The 21,565-nt window shown below is 34.2% G+C and overlaps 1 protein-coding gene across 9 annotated transcripts in view; it reads right to left on the reverse strand.

The window, feature by feature from the left end:
* The window catches only part of COL11A1 (collagen type XI alpha 1 chain), a 232,050-nt gene that overhangs the window by 200,061 nt on the left and 10,424 nt on the right, over positions 1-21,565 (reverse strand). For all 9 annotated transcript variants that reach the window (NR_134980.2, XR_007085257.1, NM_001190709.2 and 6 more), the window contains exons 2-3: positions 6,272-6,439; positions 2,125-2,338 (exon numbers count right to left, since the gene is read on the reverse strand). Coding sequence is in view for 7 of the 9 variants with exons in the window: in NM_001190709.2 (NP_001177638.1) it covers positions 2,125-2,338; positions 6,272-6,439 (382 nt within the window). In the remaining 2 variants the exon portion in view is untranslated. The remainder of the gene's footprint in view (positions 1-2,124; positions 2,339-6,271; positions 6,440-21,565) is intronic.

Here is a 21,565-nt window from a genome sequence, read left to right on the forward strand (position 1 = left end):
TTTTGCCCCTTGCACATGTTCTTCACCCAGGCAGGATTGTTCTTTCTCCACATCCCTACATGGCTATTCTCTCACTTCCTTTGTGATTTTGCTCAATGCAACCTCACTCAAAAAAACATGAGTGAAACCTCATGTTTTACTTTGAGGATTCATTCATATTAAACTGTCCTATCTAAAATAGTACACTCTACATCTCTTATCTTGATTTATTTTCGTTCAAAGAACTATCAGCACTTCGCATATTTAAGCTCCAGGAGTGGAGGAACTTCACCTGGGTTGTTCATTGCTACAACTGCTGTGCTCTACAGACTGCCAGCCAAGCGGTGGCTAATAGATAAATACTTATGGAATGAATGTTCACTCATGATGAATGTCATGATTGTTCTTTAAAAACATCACAGTGTGCTTAAATACCAATATTTTTGCATCTAAATTATTATGGCAGTTGAGCTCAACAAGTATGTCACTTTTTAACTGTCTCAAGTAAAAGTATAGGACCTACCTAGCACACAGTAAGCATTTAATAAATTGTTATTGAAGGAATATACAAATGAAAAAAATTAATACTACTAGGTATTAACTGTATTCAACATATTATCAAGATAATATTTTACTACTGTGATATATGTAAATATAACTTCTGTTTGATAATCAATTAAAAATATTTATTGAACATTCTCCATTTTTTTATTTTTATTTTTTCATGTTTTACTTTAAGGATACATTCATAGTAAACACTACCTGCTAGTTTTGAATAGGATGTGGGCTGGGCTGCAATAAATTGATGTTTTTGTTTTTTTTTCTTCAGTTAGGAAAGCAGGATTAAGGAAAAATAAGGTGTGAATAATAAGATGAATTCAAAATATTTTCTACATTTACCAAATATAGATTAAAACCTTAGCATGGAGTTTGCTAACAGTCAAAAAAAGAAACACAACGTGCTATTATATCTAATTTGTTTATAGGATAATAATGTAAATTAGTTGTAAAAGCCTAAAGTTGTAAAGTCTCAGTAAAACTGAGACTTGAGAGTTTCTCTGTGGTCCTGACAAAAATATAATGAGTGTCAATGATCACTGCTACTTCCTTCTTATAGCTATAACCAAATGTGCTATTTTGGATAAAGCTGTTTTTAGAGGTCTGGATTCAGTGATAAAATATTGAGTAAATTTAATAAGCATTAATTTCTATTTAGCTGCTCCATAAGTGAAAGGAAACAACCACAATACATAATTCAGAATTCGACATGATTTGCAAAAGAGCGCAGTGCAAGCCTGACTTCCTGAGTTCAAACCCCATCTCTATCACTTTCCAACTATACGAACTTAGGCAAATTACTTAAACTCTCTGAGCCTCAGTTCCCTTACCAGGAAAATTAGTTTGTTAACATTACTTTCTTAAAGGAATCAATAAAACTAAATGAGTTAACAATGTATAAAGACCTTAGTACATGGCACATATCAGCACTCTATAATGCTTCCTCTGATCTCCAATATTAATATTATTAGTAAAACGTAAGTCAAATTAGATCATTCTTCTGCTCAAAAAGCCTCCAGTAACTTCCTGTTTCTCTCAGAGTAGAATCCAAAGTGCTTACGACCTCCTACAATGTGTTATACCATCTGGCCTCCCTCTGCTTCTCCATCCTCATCATCCCACTCTTCTCCTGCCATGCTGGTATCCTTGATGTTGCTTGGAACAAACTGGCCACACCCTGGAATCAGAGACTGTATTGGCTTCCTGCTTCTCCTGGAACACTAGTCTTTTAATGAACAGCATGGCATGCACTTTACCTTCTTTACATATCACTTTCTTAGTGGGATTTGGCTTGATGTCACTTCTTAAAACTACCCACCCCACTGCCACACCCTAACCTCTTTACTGCTCTCTTTTTCTTTCACACTTATTACCACCTGCTATACTACTTATTAGTAATTTATTTTGAAAACATTGTTTATTGTTTCCCTGTACACACTATAAATTATGTCTTTATGTATTTTTTGCTCATTTATTTATCACCAGCCTCTAGAAAAACCTTATCACACTTCATAAATATTTGTTAAGTGACTGAATAAAAAAAATGATTTTGGCATAGCTAAAACATTGTATTATTTTGTTACTTACTTCCCGTCAGCGATGTTAACAGTTCTGAAGAGGGGATAGTCTTCTGGGGCAGGTTTTCCAGTGTGGTCTTCAAACAGAAAAACAGGTGATCTCCCAACCTCAACACCAATTTGCTGAATACCATGCTCATTATATATAGATAAAAGGAAAGACTGAATTCCTTTTTTTGGTTTTACTGTAAATAGTATTGAAAAGTCTTCTGGGAAAGTTCCACCTGAGAAGAAAAGGCCAAAGAGTTAGAAATTTCCAATTTCCAATTTCTACTTTATTCCTAGATCACTGTGGTATTTTTGAAATTTCTACATGGCCTTTATAAATCAACTAACTTTGAATAGTAAACAGATTAATAAATAAATAGGGGTCCTCCATTAAGGTTTCTCTTCAATTTTTATCCAAGCTATAGTCAAACTTTAAAGACACTCACTTAAAGTACTTAAAGCACAATGTTTATGTGAAATTAAATTTGGTTTAGGCAACAGGATTATGATACCAGTAAATATCAAACACATAACCACCACTCTTAAAACATTTATTTAAGTGCTAATTTTGGCCTAAAGTTTGTATTTTTTGTCTTTGTCTAGTCCGTAGCCATACATGCCCACTTTAAAGAGGCATTGTAATGACCCAATTTACAAACGTATTCTTTCTGTTGTTTCTTTAAAAGCTTAAGAGTTTTCGATTAGTTCTTAATATCAAACAATGCAGTTTCACTGTATATTGCTTCTTATTAAAGAAGCATATGTCATTATGAGCCAGAACTATTAGGTAATTGGCTAACTTGATTTTAAATTCAAGAAGGCAGACTCTTTTTCTTTTCTTCTCTCTCTCAATCATATGCCAAATATCTAGCATACAGTCTGATCTACATTGGTCCTTACTAAGCATCTGTTATATAAATATATCAGTTAAACAATTACCCTAAGTATATCTCAAATAATTAAGTAATGAGTACTTATATTTTTATAAAACAATGTATATTAAGTTGCGGGTTTTATTTTTCAAAATAGTTTTACAAATATATCTTATTTGAGCCTCTTACTACTCTGGCATATAAATAAAGCAAGCATTATTATTTGAGAAATGAGATGCCTTTAGTTGAAAAGTTGTCTTTTTGCAAAACCATTGTGTATGTGCATGTGTAATCAACAATATCTAGCCTAATATCAAGGCCTTCCTTTTTCAATCCATTCATTCCAAATTCTATTACAGGCAGTAGTATAAATCTATAAAAGAAATATGATTATGTCTGGCTTGGATTCAAGTTCAAACAATTGTAGGAGATCAGCAATTCTACTTCTAAGAATGTATGGGGAGAGGATGCTTATGTGTAAATGTATTGTACTTTCAAATCACCAAAGTACTATTTATAATAATAAAATTTTATAATAAGCTGCAATGATTGAAACTGATTAAATAAAATACAAATATGTATGGTATGTAATAGAATCGTATGCAGCCACTTAATGTAGCAGAAAGATGTTTTATGAAGTGGAAATTATTAAAACATATTACAAAAGAAAAAACAGCAAGAGGCATGAATACATTTTTATGCTATAAATGTATGCATAGACTAGTTAAGTGGAAGACAGTACAGTATCTCAATTGAAAGTTCTGAATCTTGTCAGATCATTTGGCTCAAATCCCAGCCCTACCACATCCAAATAGGATTACATTTAACTAAAAAGTATTTACAAAGCAAAAGAAAAAATTAACAAAGTGAAGAGACAACCTTTAGAACAGGAGAAAATATTTGCAAACTATACATCTGATAAGGGGTTAATATTAAAAACATGTAAGGAACTCAAACAACTCAATAGAAAAAAACAAGTAATCCAATTAAAAATGGACAAGATGTCTGAATAAACATATCTTGAAGAAGACATACAAATGGCTAACGGGTATATGAAAAAAATGCTCAACATCGTTAATCATTAGGAATATGTAAATCAAAACTGCAATGAGCTATTACCCCACTCCAGTATGAATGGCAACTATCAAAAAGTCAAAAGATAAGTGTTGGTGCAGATGTAGAGAAAAAGGAACTGTTTCATACTATTGGTGAAAATGTAAATTAATACAGCCATATAGAAAATAGTAAAAAATTTCCTCAAAAAATTAGAGCTAGTGCCATCAATCGCACTACTGAGTATACATACAAAGGAAATGCAATCAGTATGTCAAAGAGATACCTGCACTCCTATGTTATATTATCCATCAACCCTACTACTGGGTATATGTCCCAAGTAAATGACATCAGGATGTTGAAGGGATATCTGCAGTCCAATATTTATTGCAATATTATTCATAATAGCCAATATATGGAATCAACCCACCATCTCCTAGCTATGTGTTCTTGGCAAATAAAATCCTACTTGCCCTTCCCATCCATTGGCTGGGCTAATAATTTAATCTGTCCCATGGAACTATTGTGGAAATTATATGAGACTGTATCATAAAGAAAGCAGTCAGATAATGTTGATTATATGGCTCTTATCACTTAAATATATAGTATTTAAAATTAGTTATATAAAATTAATGATTTTAAGTAACTACCACATTGGAATGCAGAACACACTGACCCTGAGATAATGAGCTAAAGTATAAAAATTGTAACCTGTAATCTGAGTAGTTCTAAAGGTTTTTAATTGGTATATTTTTCTTTGTTTTACTCTCTTCAAAATTCCCATCCCTTTTTCTATTAAGGATGCTTTAGGAAATGCAGCAGAGTGCACATAAATAGAAAAAGCAGCTTACCTTTTTACTTTTAATTTTTTTAAATCTATTTTTAAAATGTTTTATGGATTTAATAATCACTTTAACTTTTTTATTTTCAAAGTCAGAAAAAAAGTTCATTTTATTCTTTATATTTTCAGTTTGTTCTTGTTCACCACAAAGTATTGCAAAACAGAAAATATATTGGAAGAATCAGTGAACAATCAAAATAAATGTATTTCAATATATTTTAAAATGTCCTTCTATGAAAAGTGTACTGTGCTGTTTTGTAATGTTTTAATCCCTTGATTTATACTTGTTTTCTCTTGTTAGAAAACAGTTTCATATGAAGATAGGAAACTCAAATTTCCTCAAGCAGAGATAATATAGGATAATATGAAGAATTTAAATGATAAATTGCTGCTGAGAAGATCCCAAAGTGCCAGAAAGGACCATTTGATGACATATAAAATATATAGAGCAGAACAGACCTAGATTAAATATTGACTGCACATAACTTGGTCAAGTCAGAGAGCCTCTGTGAAATTCAGTTTCCTCCTCTGTTAAATAAGGATGAGAACACCCATCAACTGACCAATCAATAGATAACTGGTATGTATCAAATGGAGGCAAGCACAGTTAACAAGTTACCTGCTTTGAAAATATGAGGCTCGAAAATTGTCATTTCACCACTCAATTCCCTTTCTCCACATTATCATGATTTCTAGATAATTAGTGTTATTAGGTCAATTAGTGCTCTCATGGAAGGAAAAACAAATATTCAGCAAGTACTTTTCAGTACCATTATGAAAAACTGCCAGCTGATATTTTAAAAAAATCTCTAGTTTCAGGAGGGATAACTGTGAGATGTGACTAACTTTTCTTATATTTTAGATAAGAGCGGCATGAAAAAATAATGCAAAATTATTTGCAAAGAAAAAGTATCTCTTTCAACAGAAACATTTACCTTAATGTTAGGAAAACATGCACTAAGTATGTTTACATTCAAATGCCCATTAAATTAACTTAGAAAGTCATTAAGGGGAAAGATTCCCTCCTATACCCCAGTCACGATGAATAAGCTCTACCTAATTACAAGTAGAAATAGGCTAGATATAAAATGTTGTCTCCATATATTATGTACAAATAATGAAGTACTAAATGTTCAAATAAGAATATTTTCACAGAAATGTGATTGTGTTGAATTAAGACTGGCAATTATCAAATTTTTTGTTATTTTCATTACATTACTTTGGTGACCACAAGGTATTTGGTGTCTGATATAAGAAAGAATTGCATTTTACCATATAATTGCACATTATCTAACCTGATAAAAATACTAATTAGTAAAGAAATACTAAAAGTAGTTTTAGTAGTAACAAAAGTGTAATAACTTTTAGTAATAATAACAATAATAATAATAAAGTGAATATACCTGGAAATAACTGTTTTGTTGGGGCACTGAGTTGTGCTTGCTTTGAAACTCTGTAAGCAGTATCTGAGCCTTTAGAATTCTTTCTGTTTGTGCAAAATCCCGTTGTTTTTGATATTCCCTCTGGAGAATTGTGAAAATCTAGTGCTTTTAGTACATCAACTGGAGCAGCTGAAAAATAAGCAAACAATAAAAAACCAGAATTGAACAACGATCTGATATAACAATGAGTATTTTTAACACAGGATAGTATGTCATTTCATACCTTGAATCTATTTATCACTTGCCATGCTTCCCTAACATTTAGGTGGGAGTTTGGAGAGTGGGGCAGCAGGTAGTAATATAAACCATAACAACATTCTCAAATTCAAAATATCTCAAATCTGGAATCAAATTATGGTTAAGCAACACAGAAGGGGTGTCTGTGTGTGTGTGTGTGTCTGTGTCTGTGTGTGTGTGTGTGTGCGTGTGTGTGTACATAGGCATATGTGCATCTGGAATTTAAAGTTTCCTATATATGATTTATAAACATTCATATGTATCTCAATTATAATTTATAAAATATTTAATAATTCCAAGTAATAACATTATGTAGAATTAAAGTGAAAGCCAGCATTTGTAAATATTTCATTTTCCAACAGTTACTAATAAACTATTCATAATCTAAACAGAGGTGATTTTGAAGATTCAAATGTACAATGGATGTTATATGTAAACTCTGTAAAATGTGCACCTACTTAGTCATTTTGTATACACAAGAGAAGTTGAAAGAAAGGTGTTAAAAAAATAGGTAGCACAATACAATGCCTTTTTCAGTGCTTTCCTGAGTTAGTTATTTACAAATTATATACAGGTACTTATATATGCACACAAAGGTGTATGTATGTATCTATCTATATGTAATTTATCGATTTTTATTATCTCAACTTACCAGTCACTTCATGGATATTACTCCATACTTCATTATTTAGGCTGAAAGTCCCTGGAGATGAGTAATTTAGTAATTGTGCCCCTTCACATTTTTTTTGTAGTCTTAGGGTATGTAAAACTAGGCTACTTTTTAGTGGAAGCATAAATTTCCCAAATCTAATTCATTCCAGGTACTTGGTAGTTACTGTGACGTGGTCAATATAAAATATGTTTGGAACCTTAAACTTTCCCTTTGTAAGTGTGACCCATTTGTATAAACAGCTTTATCGGGTTATAATTCACATACCATACAAAACACCCACTTAAAAGCAAACAGTGGTTTTTGGTATATTGTACTATTATTATCTTTAATTGTGATCAATACATATAACATTAAATTTGCCATTTTAGATTTTTTAAGTGTACAATTCAGTAGCATTAATTACACTCACAATATTGTACAACTATAATTATCTATTTCTGAACATTTTTCATCAACTCAAACTTCATCACCATTATGCAATAACTCTTCACTCCTTCAACCTCCTACCCCCTGACAACCTCTTATATACTTTCTGTCTCTAGTTACTCATTCGAGAATTTTCATTTAAGTAGACTCATACAGAAGTGCCATATGACCCAGCAATTCCACTCCCACATATATGCCTAAAATAATTGAAAGCTGGGACTCAATCAAAAATTTGAACACAATGTTCACTGCAGCATTATTCACAATAGCCAAAAGGTGGAAACAATCCAAGTTTCTTTCAACAGATGAATGGATTAACCAAAAGTATCCAGCCATAAAAAGGAAAGAAGTCCTGATACAGGCTATAACACGGATCAACCTTCAAAACAGTACACTACATGAAATATGCCATTTAGAAAAAAAAAAAAAAACACTTTATCTTTTTTAGATCTTCAAGTTGTCTGGTCCATAATTACATATATATTTAAGTCACTAAGCAAGTCAGGACATGAATAATGCAGTTCAAGTATTATTTTAAAAACAGACTTTAGAACCCATATTACTCAATGTACAGTAAGTCCTCACTTAATATCCTCGATAGGCTCTTGGAAACTTCTACATTGAGCAAATCAACTTTAATGAAACCAATTTGACCATAGGCTCACTGATATAAACCAGAGTTAAGTTCCTACAGTCTATTTCTGATCACAAATACACCACCAAACTTCTAAATAAAGACTGAAAACACGTTTCATACTGAACATTGAACTAAATGTGAGCTACACATACATTTAAGAAAGATTAATGAAAAATGAAATAATTATTTATCCAATTTTTGGTGAATCAGTGAATGACGGTGGTCATAGTAGTGCTGGGTTAAATTAAGGTATAAACGTTTGAAAAGTGAAAATTGTAAGGAGCATGTCCTCCCACCATGCAGTTCAGAATCAATCACAAATATGATGAGCTCTGAGTGCTTTTGTACTGCATTATTTATTATGTGCATTTGGATAATTATGGTAGAGTTTACAGATTTTTATTTGATAACAATTTGTATTCATTCATTCATTTGTTCATTCATTTCCAACCTGCTTATCCCAGTTCAGGGCCCCAAATGGCTGGAGCCCAACCCAAACATTCAGGACGCAGGGCGGGAACCAGTCCTGGACAGGACACCATCTCATGGTAGGGCACATATACCCACTCAACCAGACTGGGACCATTTAGAGACAGCAATTCTCTGTACACATTTTGGGGATGTGGAAGGAAACCAGAGTGCCCAGTGAAATCCCACGGAGGCACAGGGAGAACATGTAATCGCCACATAGTGGCCCTGACTGGGAACGGACTTTTTTTTTTTCTTATCAACATTATCACTGAACGAGTTGAACAAAACAACAGTATTTGAGGACCTGCTTGACTTATATTCTATTGGCTTCATACCTATATTCAAAAACAAGCAAAACATTCAGAGTAGACCATATGCTGGCCAAATATCATTCAGCATGCCTGAGATATAAAAATTATAATGATGTTTGAGAACATTTTTTTGCACTAGTCCTGCTTGCAACGGCTATGTTTTTAAGCCAATAGGATATCTGTTTTATATGTGTTATTTTCTCTTACCTCATAACTAAGAAAATGCTAATCATAATAACTGCCAGGGAGAGCCTAATATGTGCCAGTCTCTGGACTAAGTTCTTTACAGGGATTAACCCTCACAAACCATATGTTCTTATCCGTCCTGTGCAGATTGAGATTTAAGAACCAGAGAACAAACTAAGATTACTCTTAAGATCTGTGTAAATACCAACTCTATGCTCCTTCCACTTCACCACTCACCCTGCTATACCCCAAAATAAAAACTCTGCAAAAATAAACTTAAAACATACATATAATATGTTTATGTTATTTGGGCCAGCTAATTGATTCCTGATGTTCATATTTATTTTAAACTAAACTCATTACTTGTTCTAGTATATAAATGACTCTGAAGAAGAATGTTTCTGAAAACCACAGCATTTTATCTGCTTAAATTATCTTATATTTTTGCTCTGAAGCCATTCTCCAAAGTAGAACTGAATAAAGACTTGAGGATAGACATGAACACATCTATGAAGGCTGTAATTTTTCTGAAAAGGAAAACAAAATGCATCCCCACTGTCATAATCACAATTGGGCAGAGGTAAATAATACATAAAATGGACTGCAAAGTCCACAACGTATCTATTTTGTTTGTTTGTTTGTTTGTTTTTGAGACGGAGTCTTGCTCTGTTGCCCAGGCTGGAGTGCAGTGGCGCGATCTCGGCTCGCTGCAAGCCCCGCCTCCCAGGTTCACGCCACTCTCCTGCCTCAGCCTCCTGAGTAGCTGGGACTCCAGGCGCCCGCCACCACGCCCGGCTAATTTTTTGTATTTTTAGTAGAGACGGGGTTTCACAGTGTTAGCCAGGATGGTCTTGATCTCCTGACTTCCTGATCCGCCCGCCTCGGCCTCCCAAAGTGCTGGGATTACAGGCGTGAGCCACCGCGCCCGGCAACAACGTATCTTTTAACACCATGACCTTATCCAAGTGTTCACTCCTCAAAAAACAATACAAGTAGAGACATATAATAAAGGTATCAACCAAGCCTTTTTTTTTTTCCCAAAAAGGCATTTCAAGTTACAAAAAAGTAAAACTCCATTAATTAAGTCCTTAAGTTTATTTTATTTCAAGTGAACTAAATAATGAATTAAGCTACTTTGAAATTCTGCCTGTTATTTGATCTCATAATCCTCATAGATATTGCGTTTAATAAATTGTCATTAAATGGATTCTACTGTTTTATACGCATACATACATATATGTGGGAAAGCTATTCTTTATATTTTGCTAACTGCAACTGTTCAAAGATTAAAAGAAGTAATTTTATGGCTAAATATGATATATGAAAAAAGTAAAATGTCCATATTCAAAGCAATTCTTAAATGACCTTAATATTTTAATTATCTCTATGTTGCCAACTGCTGGCACAAACCATGTGTATGCAATTCAGATGTATCCAATTCAGCACAATGTTTTGTTCAATTATATTTTCCTGTCCTTTATTGAATACCTATAGGTTTATTAAACGGGAGAATAGAATATCAGAGCCCAATGTGCTACTAAAATAGCCACTTAACTGGGTTCCATACTTTTTCCCATCAATCTTCATTCCACCAACTTGATTAAGCTTCCAAAAATCCATGTCTCATGTCACTCTGATGTTTAAATTCCTTCAAAGAACCCCACTGGCTCTCAGATGATTTCCACATTCCTTGAATATACAACTTGGATATCTGGACACTCCCACTTATCCTACCACTCTAAGCTCACTGAATGTACAGTCTTAGCTCTCATGAGTCCCTCATTCTGTCCTCATTCAGTGTTCTACCATACTAAACTCAGTCTTTCCAGAATCCACCATGTTCTCTGGCTTGCTTCTGGGCCTTTATAAACCCTACTCTCTGTTTCAAACACTTAGCTCCACCTCACCTGAAGGATAAGAATATACCTGGTAATGCATCTTCTGCAGAAAACATTCTCTGTCTCCCTAAGCTGGGTTAGATCTGCTAACCTCTATTATAGCACCTTTCATACTTTTTTAAAATTATTTGCCTTGTCTTTGCCAATTTTTGCAAACTAGTAAGGAACAGGTATACACACACAAACACACAGAGATTATGAAAATGTTGGTTGAATGTGAAACACGATAATGTGAAAATATATGGAAGGAACTTCCTCTGAAATCCTCAGGCTATCTAGTGTCGAAATTAAATTTTTTTAGGTCCTAATATGTACTTTTTATTGTAGTCTATTGACCTCTTAAACACCACCACCCTTTCACTGATCAGTTTGATCCCAAGTCTTTGATCCTTTCTCCCTTGTTGCCTTCACCATCCATATAGATTACTGATGAAACATCTCATAATACTTTGATTGTTTCATCTCTAATTCCTTCTCTAAGCTTCTTTGCACACTCCCATGACCAGTAGTGAACCGCATCATTACAGTGTTAAAGAGCAAAACTGCTTCTTAAGTCCACCTCTGCCTCTTAGCATCTGTGTGACTTGGACAGATTACTTAATTACTCTGGGCCTCCGTTTCTATATCAGTACAATGAGAATAACAAAAATATTTACTTCAAAGAGTTTTTTTTTGTCAGAACTAAATTGGTTTTTGTAACAATGCCTTCGAATGATGGTGGGGAAATCTGTGCCTGTGGGTATAGACCTCCCATAGACCTCCTTGCTGCCTATTTTTATATGGTACATGATGTAAGAATAATTGTACATTTTAAATGTTGAAAAATAAAAGGACAATATTTTGTGACACATGAAAACTATATGAAATTTCAGCTTTCATAAAGAAAGTTTTTATTGGAACATAGTCACACCCGTTCATTTATATATTGTCCATAGCTGCTTTTGTACTGCAACAGAGTTGCGTAGCTGCAACAGAGACTGTGTGCTCACAACAACTAAAATATCTACTACCTAGCCCTTTTAAGCTGAGTCCCTAGGGATAAATAGGAGTTCCTCAGTGAAGAAGAGAAGGAAAGAAACAGCAGATATGGTAGCACAGATACAAAGAGAGTAAAGAGTTCAAGGAAACCAGCCATGCTTGCCCAAGGAGACATGGACACGGAGAAAATTTAGCTCTCCAGATTATCCCTGGATGCACCATGGCTGCTGAGGACCACTGGAGAAAAATCATATCTTCATCATGCATTCACTGCCACAAACTCCAAGAGCCATCTCCAATAAAAACTATCGACTCGCCCATCCTGACATTTATTACTAGAACTGGAATAATTTTCAGTTTCTAAAATGTACCTTGCTGTCTTTATCTGTAGATTTTTTCCAGTCCTTCCTCAATTGGTTAAGGACAGTTGACTTATTTTTCAATCCTGTCAATAGAATCATCTGAAGAGTTTATAAAACCTATGAATGCCTGGAACCCACCCCAGAACTAATAAACTAGAATGATTGGGTACAGACATCCATATTTTTTAAGTTTCCCAGATGAGTTTAATGTGCAGCCAGGGTTGAAACTCGGTGGCTTCAGACCTAGTCAACCTTTTAGTGTAAACCTAAGCATGACTTATTCTAGGAGATTTATTCTTAGCTCATCCAAGAGGATGATGTGACCTCTTTATATGATCCCAGTGTCTTGTATTTCCCCTTAGATCACCCTACACTATTTTGTTCGCTTGCTTAATTATGTCTTTGGCTCTAGGCTGTATGCTCTCAGGCACAGCATCTGTCTAAATTATGGTCATGATTTTCTTGTTACATACTCACATCAGCTAATATTTTTCTCTCTCTGTTAAGCATGTAATTTATTGTTTAACATCTGCCTCCCTTGATACACTGTAAACCCTCTGACAGTGAACATCAGTGCTATTGATATTCACTATCAAATTGCAAAGACATAGCAGCTGAAGCACAGTAAATAATCAATGGAGAAATGTTTAATGGATGAATAAATGAGTAGCCACAAGCTGTCTCATAGTTGAAGCATTTTTCCTACCAGTTTGAGATGGGAAAGGAAGAGGATTGGAAGTGACCTTTACCAAGAACTTGAAGAGGTTTCCAAGTTTGTTTGTTGCCATTGTTTGATTCAGGTGTGGGAAGAATATAGGTGTGAAGCAGCGTGGTGGCCCACGCCTGTAATCTCAGCACTTTGGGAGGCCGAGGTGGGTGGATCACGAGGTCAGGAGTTCAAGTCCAGCCTGGCCAACATGGCGAAACCCTGTCTCTACTAAAAATACAAAAATTAGCCTGGCATGGTGGCATGCACCTGTAATCCCAGCTACTCCAAAGGCTGAGGCAGGAGAATCTCTTGAACCTTGGAGGCAGAGGTTGCAGCGAGCCGAGATCACACCACTGCACTCCAGCCTGGGACAGAACGAGGCTTTGTCTCAAAATAAATAAATAAATAAATAAATAATAAAATAAAATAAAATAAGTAACAATAATAAAGTAGCCTTCCTAATGTAGATATTTTCCCAACTTCTTGAGAGTCACTTATTCTCAACCCATACCTCACATCACAGACTATATGTGAGGCATACCATTATGGAACTAATAAAAATAAAATAATACAGAAGAAAGTTCTCAGCCATCTTCCACTCAGTCAAAAAACCAGTATTGCTACTATGAGCATGTGGTAGTGAGATGTAGGACTGACAAAAGAGAAAAGGATAGAAAATTGATTATTTCTTATAATTTTCCTACTACTAATATTCTGCTATATTTCAAAATCATGATGGCTCTTAAGAAAGAGTCTAAAAACTGGGACATGCCAAGCCTATAAACAACAATTGATAACTAGTTTCCACAGTAAGAACTGCCCAACAACTAATCCAAATTCAGTAGTTATTATTTCTATGACTTTGGATAAGCTATTTACCTCTCCAAGACTTAGTTTTCTCAATTTAGTCTCATTTTGAGAATTAAACGCTGTAAGGAATTTTAAACATAGAATGGTGTCTAATGCATAATACATATTCAATAAAAATATTATCTAAAATTATTATTCCATGAAAATGTCTACCTTTCTGAACATCTTTAATACCATCCACATTTCCCTAGAGCTATAATTAAATTGATTCCTGTTATCTGCTTCCTCAGACTACCTTGGGAAAGTTCTCTGCAGTTGAGTAGAATACTAAACAGTTTTGATCTCTAAATGTCCATTCAAAATCATCCATAAAAATTATGTACTGCTTAGCAATCTCTTCAGCATGTTCATATTGTATTCCAGATGCAAACAACCTCAGGAGGTTTCCTGGAATTTAGCTTAAGCAACCAAATAGATCTTAAATCTATATTTTCATGCTCAGCACTTCATTACCCCCTAGTAGTACAAATGGACATTAATACACTGATATCATTAGCATTTTTCTCTTTTCATTATTTTTTCTTTGCATTGCATAGAAATTGATATAACTATAGCTTAAACACAGCGGGCCTCATCTAAGCTATTTATTAAAGATTTAAAAATGTAATATTGTAGACCCTTTCCTCTGACACTGTTCTTTCATTTATTGTAAATACATATATTCCACATACCAACCATGAATTATATATGAATATAAAATATTAGAAAATTAAGCACATTGACTTAAATACTCCCATATTTGAAAAGATACAGAAGTTCATATTTAAATGATGATGTCACACAAATAATGCCAATAAAAATTACATAAACTTCCTACCCTCAATAGAACCCTTTTTGGATGAAATTACCAGATGTTTGACTTGTATGCTACAATCTAATCTTTGTAGTCAACACAAGTGCAAAATTAAAGAAATAAACTACTAAAATACATTAGTAAATTGTAAGATTATATATGAAGCCCTTACAGTTGTATAGTTTACATTAATTACTACAGGACATGGGAAGTGTTCCACAATATTATTTAGAGTTCAATTTTCCCCGAAGGGTTTTATAATCAACTAAGATGTGTTGTCATTAATAATGCTCTGTTTACTTAATATATTTCTCCACATATACACTAATATACACACGAATACTATAAATAAACAAATGTTGGCATAAAATGGCTTAAGATTTTGATAGGCACCTTGAAAAAAACTGCGTATTTCATATTCAAACAGTGAAGAGCACCAAACTGAGAATGACATAAGAAAGACAATATATATCAGTAACCTGGAGTTTTAGGAATTTTAGAGTTAATTTCATCAAACCAAACACATAACAAGCCTATTAGTACTATCTTTTCAGAAAATAGAAATCCAGTGAACAAATGTAAATGTATTTTCTTACAATTCCAGGAAAATTCCAGTTTAAAACAAAATGAACTGCATAGTGAAATTCATAATTAGAAAGGTCAATAAAAATACATAGTAAAATATTCTGAAGTGTAATTAATGAAAAAGTGTGACTTCCAGCAAAATCAATTGTATCAGCATCCCATTGTTGCCTATTTATAATTCTAACCTATTTAGGGATTGAGAGAAATAGTTGACCCTTGAACAATACTAATTTGAAATGTATAGGTCCAGTTATGTATGAATATGGTTCAATACATAAATTTAAAACACATTTTTGGAGATTTGTGACAATTTGAGAAACCTTCCAGAAGAACAAAGTAGGCTAAAAATATCAAAAACATTAAGAAAAAGTTAAGTATGTCATGAATGCACAAAATATATGTAGATACAAGTCTTTTATGGTTTACTACCATAAAATAGGCACAAATAAAGTATAAAAAGTCAAAATTTGTCAAATCTTATGCACACAAACACAGATCATACATGGCACCATTACACATGGCACCATTCATAGTGGAGAGAAATGTAAACAAACATAAAGATGCAGCAATAAATGAAAACTGCATAAGATTAAGTGTAGTGCATTCTGTACTACTGTAATCATTTGTTAGCCACCTCCTGTTGCTATTGTGGTGAACCCAAATGTGGCAAGTATCTGCTTAAATATCATTTCCACATGAGCAGTGGATCTCTCTAGTAAATTGCCTATCTCTGTAAAAAGTGATCTCTCATGTTTCTTGTGTGCTTTTCATCACATTTAGTGCGATATTGTAAACCTTGAAAAGCACCAGGGAACCTATCTGAAGTACCATTAATGTTTCACATACTCCCAAGAAGCAGAGAAAAGTCATGACACACACATACATACATACACAAAGTTGAATTGCTTGATATGTACTGTAGATTGAGGTCTGCTGTGGTTGCCTGCCATTTCAAGATAAATGAGTCCAGCATAAGGATCATTGTTCCAAAAACAAACAAACAAAAAAAAACAGAAAAAGACAAAAGAAAAGAAAGGAAATCCATGAATCCATCACTGCATCTATGCCAGTAAGTGCAAAAGCCTTGAACTTTTGCAAAACATCTTTTTTAAAATCTTATATTGAAAATGCAGCTTTATGTGGGTGAGGGTGGCTATGAGAAAGCCATTATATAGCTATGAAGTTCAATATGATTCAAGAAAAAGTGAAGTCATTATATGACAACTTAAAGCAAAAGCAAGGTGAAGAATCTAAAGCTGAAGAATTTAATGCCAAAAAGGGTGGTTCGATAATTTTAGAAAGAGGTCTGCTTTAAAAATGTCAAGATAACAGGAGAAGCACCTTTCGTTGATGAACAGGCAGCAAACCATTTCCCAGATACCATTAGAAAAACCACTGAGGAGAAAGAATAGCTGCCTGAACAGGTTTTTTCATGCATATGAAACAGCCCTATTCTGGAAAAAAAAATCCACAAAGGATATTTATTAGTAAGAAAGAAAAGTGAGCACCAGGATTTAAGGTAAGAAGAAACAGGCAAATTCTACAGTTGTGCAAATTCAGTCAGGTTTATGAGGAAGGCATCCCTTATCTATAAAGTTGCTAACCCCAAGCCTTGAAGGGAAAAGATAAACAGGAATGCCTGTCTTTCGGTAGTACAACAAGAAGGCTTGGACAAGAACCCTTTTTCTGGAGTGGTTCTGTCGATATTTTGTCCTTGAAGTTGGAAAATACATTGCCAGTAATAAACCGCCTTTTAAAGTTCTTTTGATATTGGACAATGCCCCTGGCCACCCATAACCCCATGAATTCAATGACAAAGGTGTTCAAGTGGTCTACTTGTCCAAAGTACATCTCTAATTCAACCTCTGTGTCATGGGGTCATAAGGATTTTTAAGGCTCACTCACATGGTACTGTATGGAAAGCACTGTCAATGCTATGGAAGAGAACGCTGATAGAAAGAACATCATGAAAGTCTGGAAGGGTTACACCATTGAAGATGTCATCATTGTTACAGAGAAAGCCTTGAAAGCCATCAAGCCTGAAGCAATAAATTCCTCCTGAAGAAAACTGTGGCCATATGTTATCCATGGCTTCACAGGATTTGCAGCAGAGCCAATAAAGGAAATCAGGAAAGAGATTGTGGATATGGAAAAAAAATGTGGAGGTGTGGGGGCAAAGGGTTTCAAGATATGGATCTTGGAAAAATTCAAGAGCTAATAGACACCACACAAGAGTAATTAGCAGAAGACAACTTGATGAGGATGAATGCTTCCAAACCAGTGTCAGAAGATGGGGAAGAAGAAATAGAAGAGGCAGTGTCAGAAAACAAATTGACATTAGACAATCTGGCAGAAGTGGTCTGATTATTCAAGACTGCTTTTGCCTTCTTTTATCACATAGACCCTTCTATGATATGGTAACTAAAATTAAAGCAAACAGTGGAGGAAGGATTGGTACCATATGAAAACATTTTTTAGAGATACAAAAAAGCAAAAAGTCAGACACCAATTACAATGTATAGCCCTAAAGTTGCACAGGTGTGTCTGCGTCTCCTGCCTCCCCTTCCACTTCTTCTGCCTCTGCCATCCCTGAGAAAAGATCAGCCCCTTGTCTTCCTCCTCCTCCTCAACATGAAGATGATGATGATGATAAGGAAAATCTTTATGATGATTCACTTACATTTAATGAATACTAAATATATTTTCTCATCCTTATGTTTCTTAAGAACATTTTCTGTTCTCTATTGTAAGAATACAGCATAAAATATATATAACATACAAAATATGTATTAATCAACTGTTTATTTTGTCAATAAGGCTTCCCATGAATGGTAGGCATTAGTAATGAAGTCTTAGGGGAGCCAAAAGTTATACATGGATTTTCAATGCACAGGGAGTTGGCTCCTCTTACTCTTATGTTGGTCAAAAGTCAACTCTACATAAAATACATGATTCTGAATTTATCTTTGATTAAGGGCAATACTACTTTCTAGGTAGCCATCACCATGGCTCTCTTAAACCAACAAAACAAAGTACAAAATGCCGTTACCATTTCTACACAGCTGTCATTTCTCAGAACACCTGAATTAACATGCATAGTGTCCATCAAATAAGAAAAAATGCTTTACTGTGTAGAATTTGGCTCTTATATTGACTATACTATGTATGTATGTCAATACTGCATAAAATGGAATAACAAACTATGGGAATTATTGGATATAGATGACCTAGATGCTGCTAACATCTAAAAGCTTAAATAATTTAAGGCAACATTTATACTCTAAAATTATCTAATTTTACATTTTACATAGAAAATTAACACAAACTCAGTATCTTTAAATGCACCATCATTTTCTATATGAAAAATATTTGATTAGTACTAAGGAAAAAATGAATCATAAAAAGATTATAGGGAGGGTTGCAAAGGCCTGGAAAATAATATCAAATAAAAAGAACAGGCAAGGCCTCAATAAGAAAATGATATTTGGGCAAAGTCTAGAAAGTCATAGGAAGTTCCTCTATCCTGCTATTCTTGCAGAACAGAATTCTAAGCAAAAGGAAAAATAAGTGCAAAGAACCCGAGACAATAGTTGGCCCAGAATGTTGAAAGAAATGCAAGGAGACAAATATGTCTCAACAAAGGGATCTTTTTTCAAAAAATTATCCCCCATACCCACTTCCTAATATTTTGGCTCTCTTTCCTGCTCAGGTCCCTTCATTTGTACATTGGATATTTTCTCATGTAAATTTGTGTAACAGAAAATATTGTTCAGTTTGGATAGAGAGCATGGAAAGTTAACAAAAAAAAAAGATAGCTGAACTTCAGATTGAAGAAATTTAGTTCCCTGTAAAGTTATTTTAAACTCTGTATTATATAAAAGCCAAAATCTTTCTATGTACTCTATGTGAATATGTGAATACTGCTATAAAAAAGATTGACTGCATGGACAAAACAAGAGTGAAAGAGCTGTGGTCAGAGAAGTAAAAGTGAGGATACACTGATAACAAGCTGTATAGGTCCTGTGGAATGTTCAGGGAGACTGGATTTTATTCTAAATGAGATTTAAAAACCATTGGAAGGTTAGGGGAGAAGGATGACTTGAATCAACTTTTTTTTTTAGACCAGTTTTAGGTTTACAGAAAAATTGAGAGGAAGGTGCAGATAGTTTCCATTCATTTTATGCTTTCAGACCACTGGGTCTGCTGTGTTGAGAAGAAACTCTAGGCTCACTCGAGTGGAATCAGGCGGCAGTGAGGAAGTAACTGCAATTTTCCAGATATAAAATGTTGCTTTCTTAGACTGAGACAGAAAGTAAGGGTCAGATTCTACATATATTCTGAAAGTGGAGCAGATAGGAGTTGCTGATAGGTAGAAAAGGAGATAAGAGAGAAAATGAGTAAAGCTTAGTTCAAGATTTGTAGCTGGAACATCATGATTGATTGGGTTGCCATTAAGTGAGATGGAGAAGGCTGTGAGAAGAACAGGTTTCAGGAGAGGAGTTCTGCAATTCAGTTTTGGGTATACTAAATGTGAGATGACTTAATAAATACTGTTAGAAATCATTGAGTAGGCAGTCAAGTATGCAAGTCTGAAGTTCAGGGTAAAGCAGGATAGAAATAAAACTTTAGGAGTTGACAGCCTACCAATGCTATCCAGAGCTACAATTAATCAATCAATGACATGATTACTTTAAAATTCTATTTGAATAATTTCCACTGAAAGAGAACTTTAAGACTTAAAAAAATGCTGACAATAAACAATTGGTCATCTCAAATAATCAAAATAGAGATCATGACCTCATATATTAATCTTAAGAAACAAAAATCATTGTTTGCAATTTTTGTTCTAAAAGCTGATATACTTTGGTTAATAACAAGAACAGTCACATAAGGTTTAGAAATGCTAAGTTATGTTTTTGTCTTATAGCAGATTTTATTTTAACATTTTTCTCATACTCCCTTATGAAGTGGAAGTTTACTTATATATTTTGCAAGACTACATGACCATAGCTCCATATAAAGTGTGACTTAAATGTACTAATTACTGTTGAGAACCCCAAGTGATTTGACAGTAGGGTTGGCTATTCCAGAAAAAACAACATGGCCCCAGTTCACTGACTGTCAGAGGATCCAATGGTAGGAATCAACTGGGACAACCTAGTTATGTGTTGATATCGAAGTATGCACTGACCCTGCTAACTTGGCAGTTTCCTTGTACTTTTTAATTAGTGACATGTTTCCATGCTATGCAGAAAAATCTATCTTTATGATCTTGTGTTATGTGTCCCCCGCCTTCTTCCCCAGCACCATCTCACGTTTTATCCCCACTGCTTCTTCTCCAGACATACTGCCATTTTTCAAGTCCTTTCTTCAAGTCCCTTATGGTGTCATCCTCCCTTCATAAAGGCCTTCACATCACTTCCTGGAATGCTCTTTCCTCTTCACTTTAGTTAATTAATCAATGCTCAATTGGTACTTTCTCAGGGAAGTTTTCTTCGACTTTACTAAACTTCTGTTTTGTATTCTCCAGGAACCATACACCTCTCCTTCAAAGCATCTAGCATAGCTGTAGTTTTATATTTACTTGTACCACTATTTGATTAATTACTGTCTCCTCAAGTAGACCATAATCACTACGAGGCAGGATTATAACTATCTTTGCCCACCAACTACCTTTAGCATATAATGAGCTTTTAACCTGTACTTGTCGAACGTGGCAATGAAATGAATGAATTAGTTTAGAATTCAGGAAGAGCATTTAATAGGGATTTAATAGATATTTGTTGAATAAGTAAATGAATGATTGCAGGTATTAATTAGCTTTTCACTCCATGAGAATAGAGATCATCATATTGTCTGTGTAGCCACAGCACTTAACACAGTGATTAACATAGAAGATAGTCATTTAACTTTTACAGTTATTGAACAGACTCAATCCTGAACTTTTTTATATCATAAAAGCTTGACCTGAAAGTGGAAAGCAAAAATGGCATCACAACTCTGAGTATGGTGAAGAAAAGAACAAAAACTAGTTGAGAGTATGACATTTTAAAAGTACAGCATTTCTAATTTACAAATAGCCAAGGCTGTTAAAAAAAAGATGTATTATAAAACTAAAA

This window comes from Homo sapiens, chromosome 1 (genome assembly GCF_000001405.40).
Source record: "Homo sapiens chromosome 1, GRCh38.p14 Primary Assembly".
Lineage (NCBI taxonomy): Eukaryota > Metazoa > Chordata > Mammalia > Primates > Hominidae > Homo > Homo sapiens.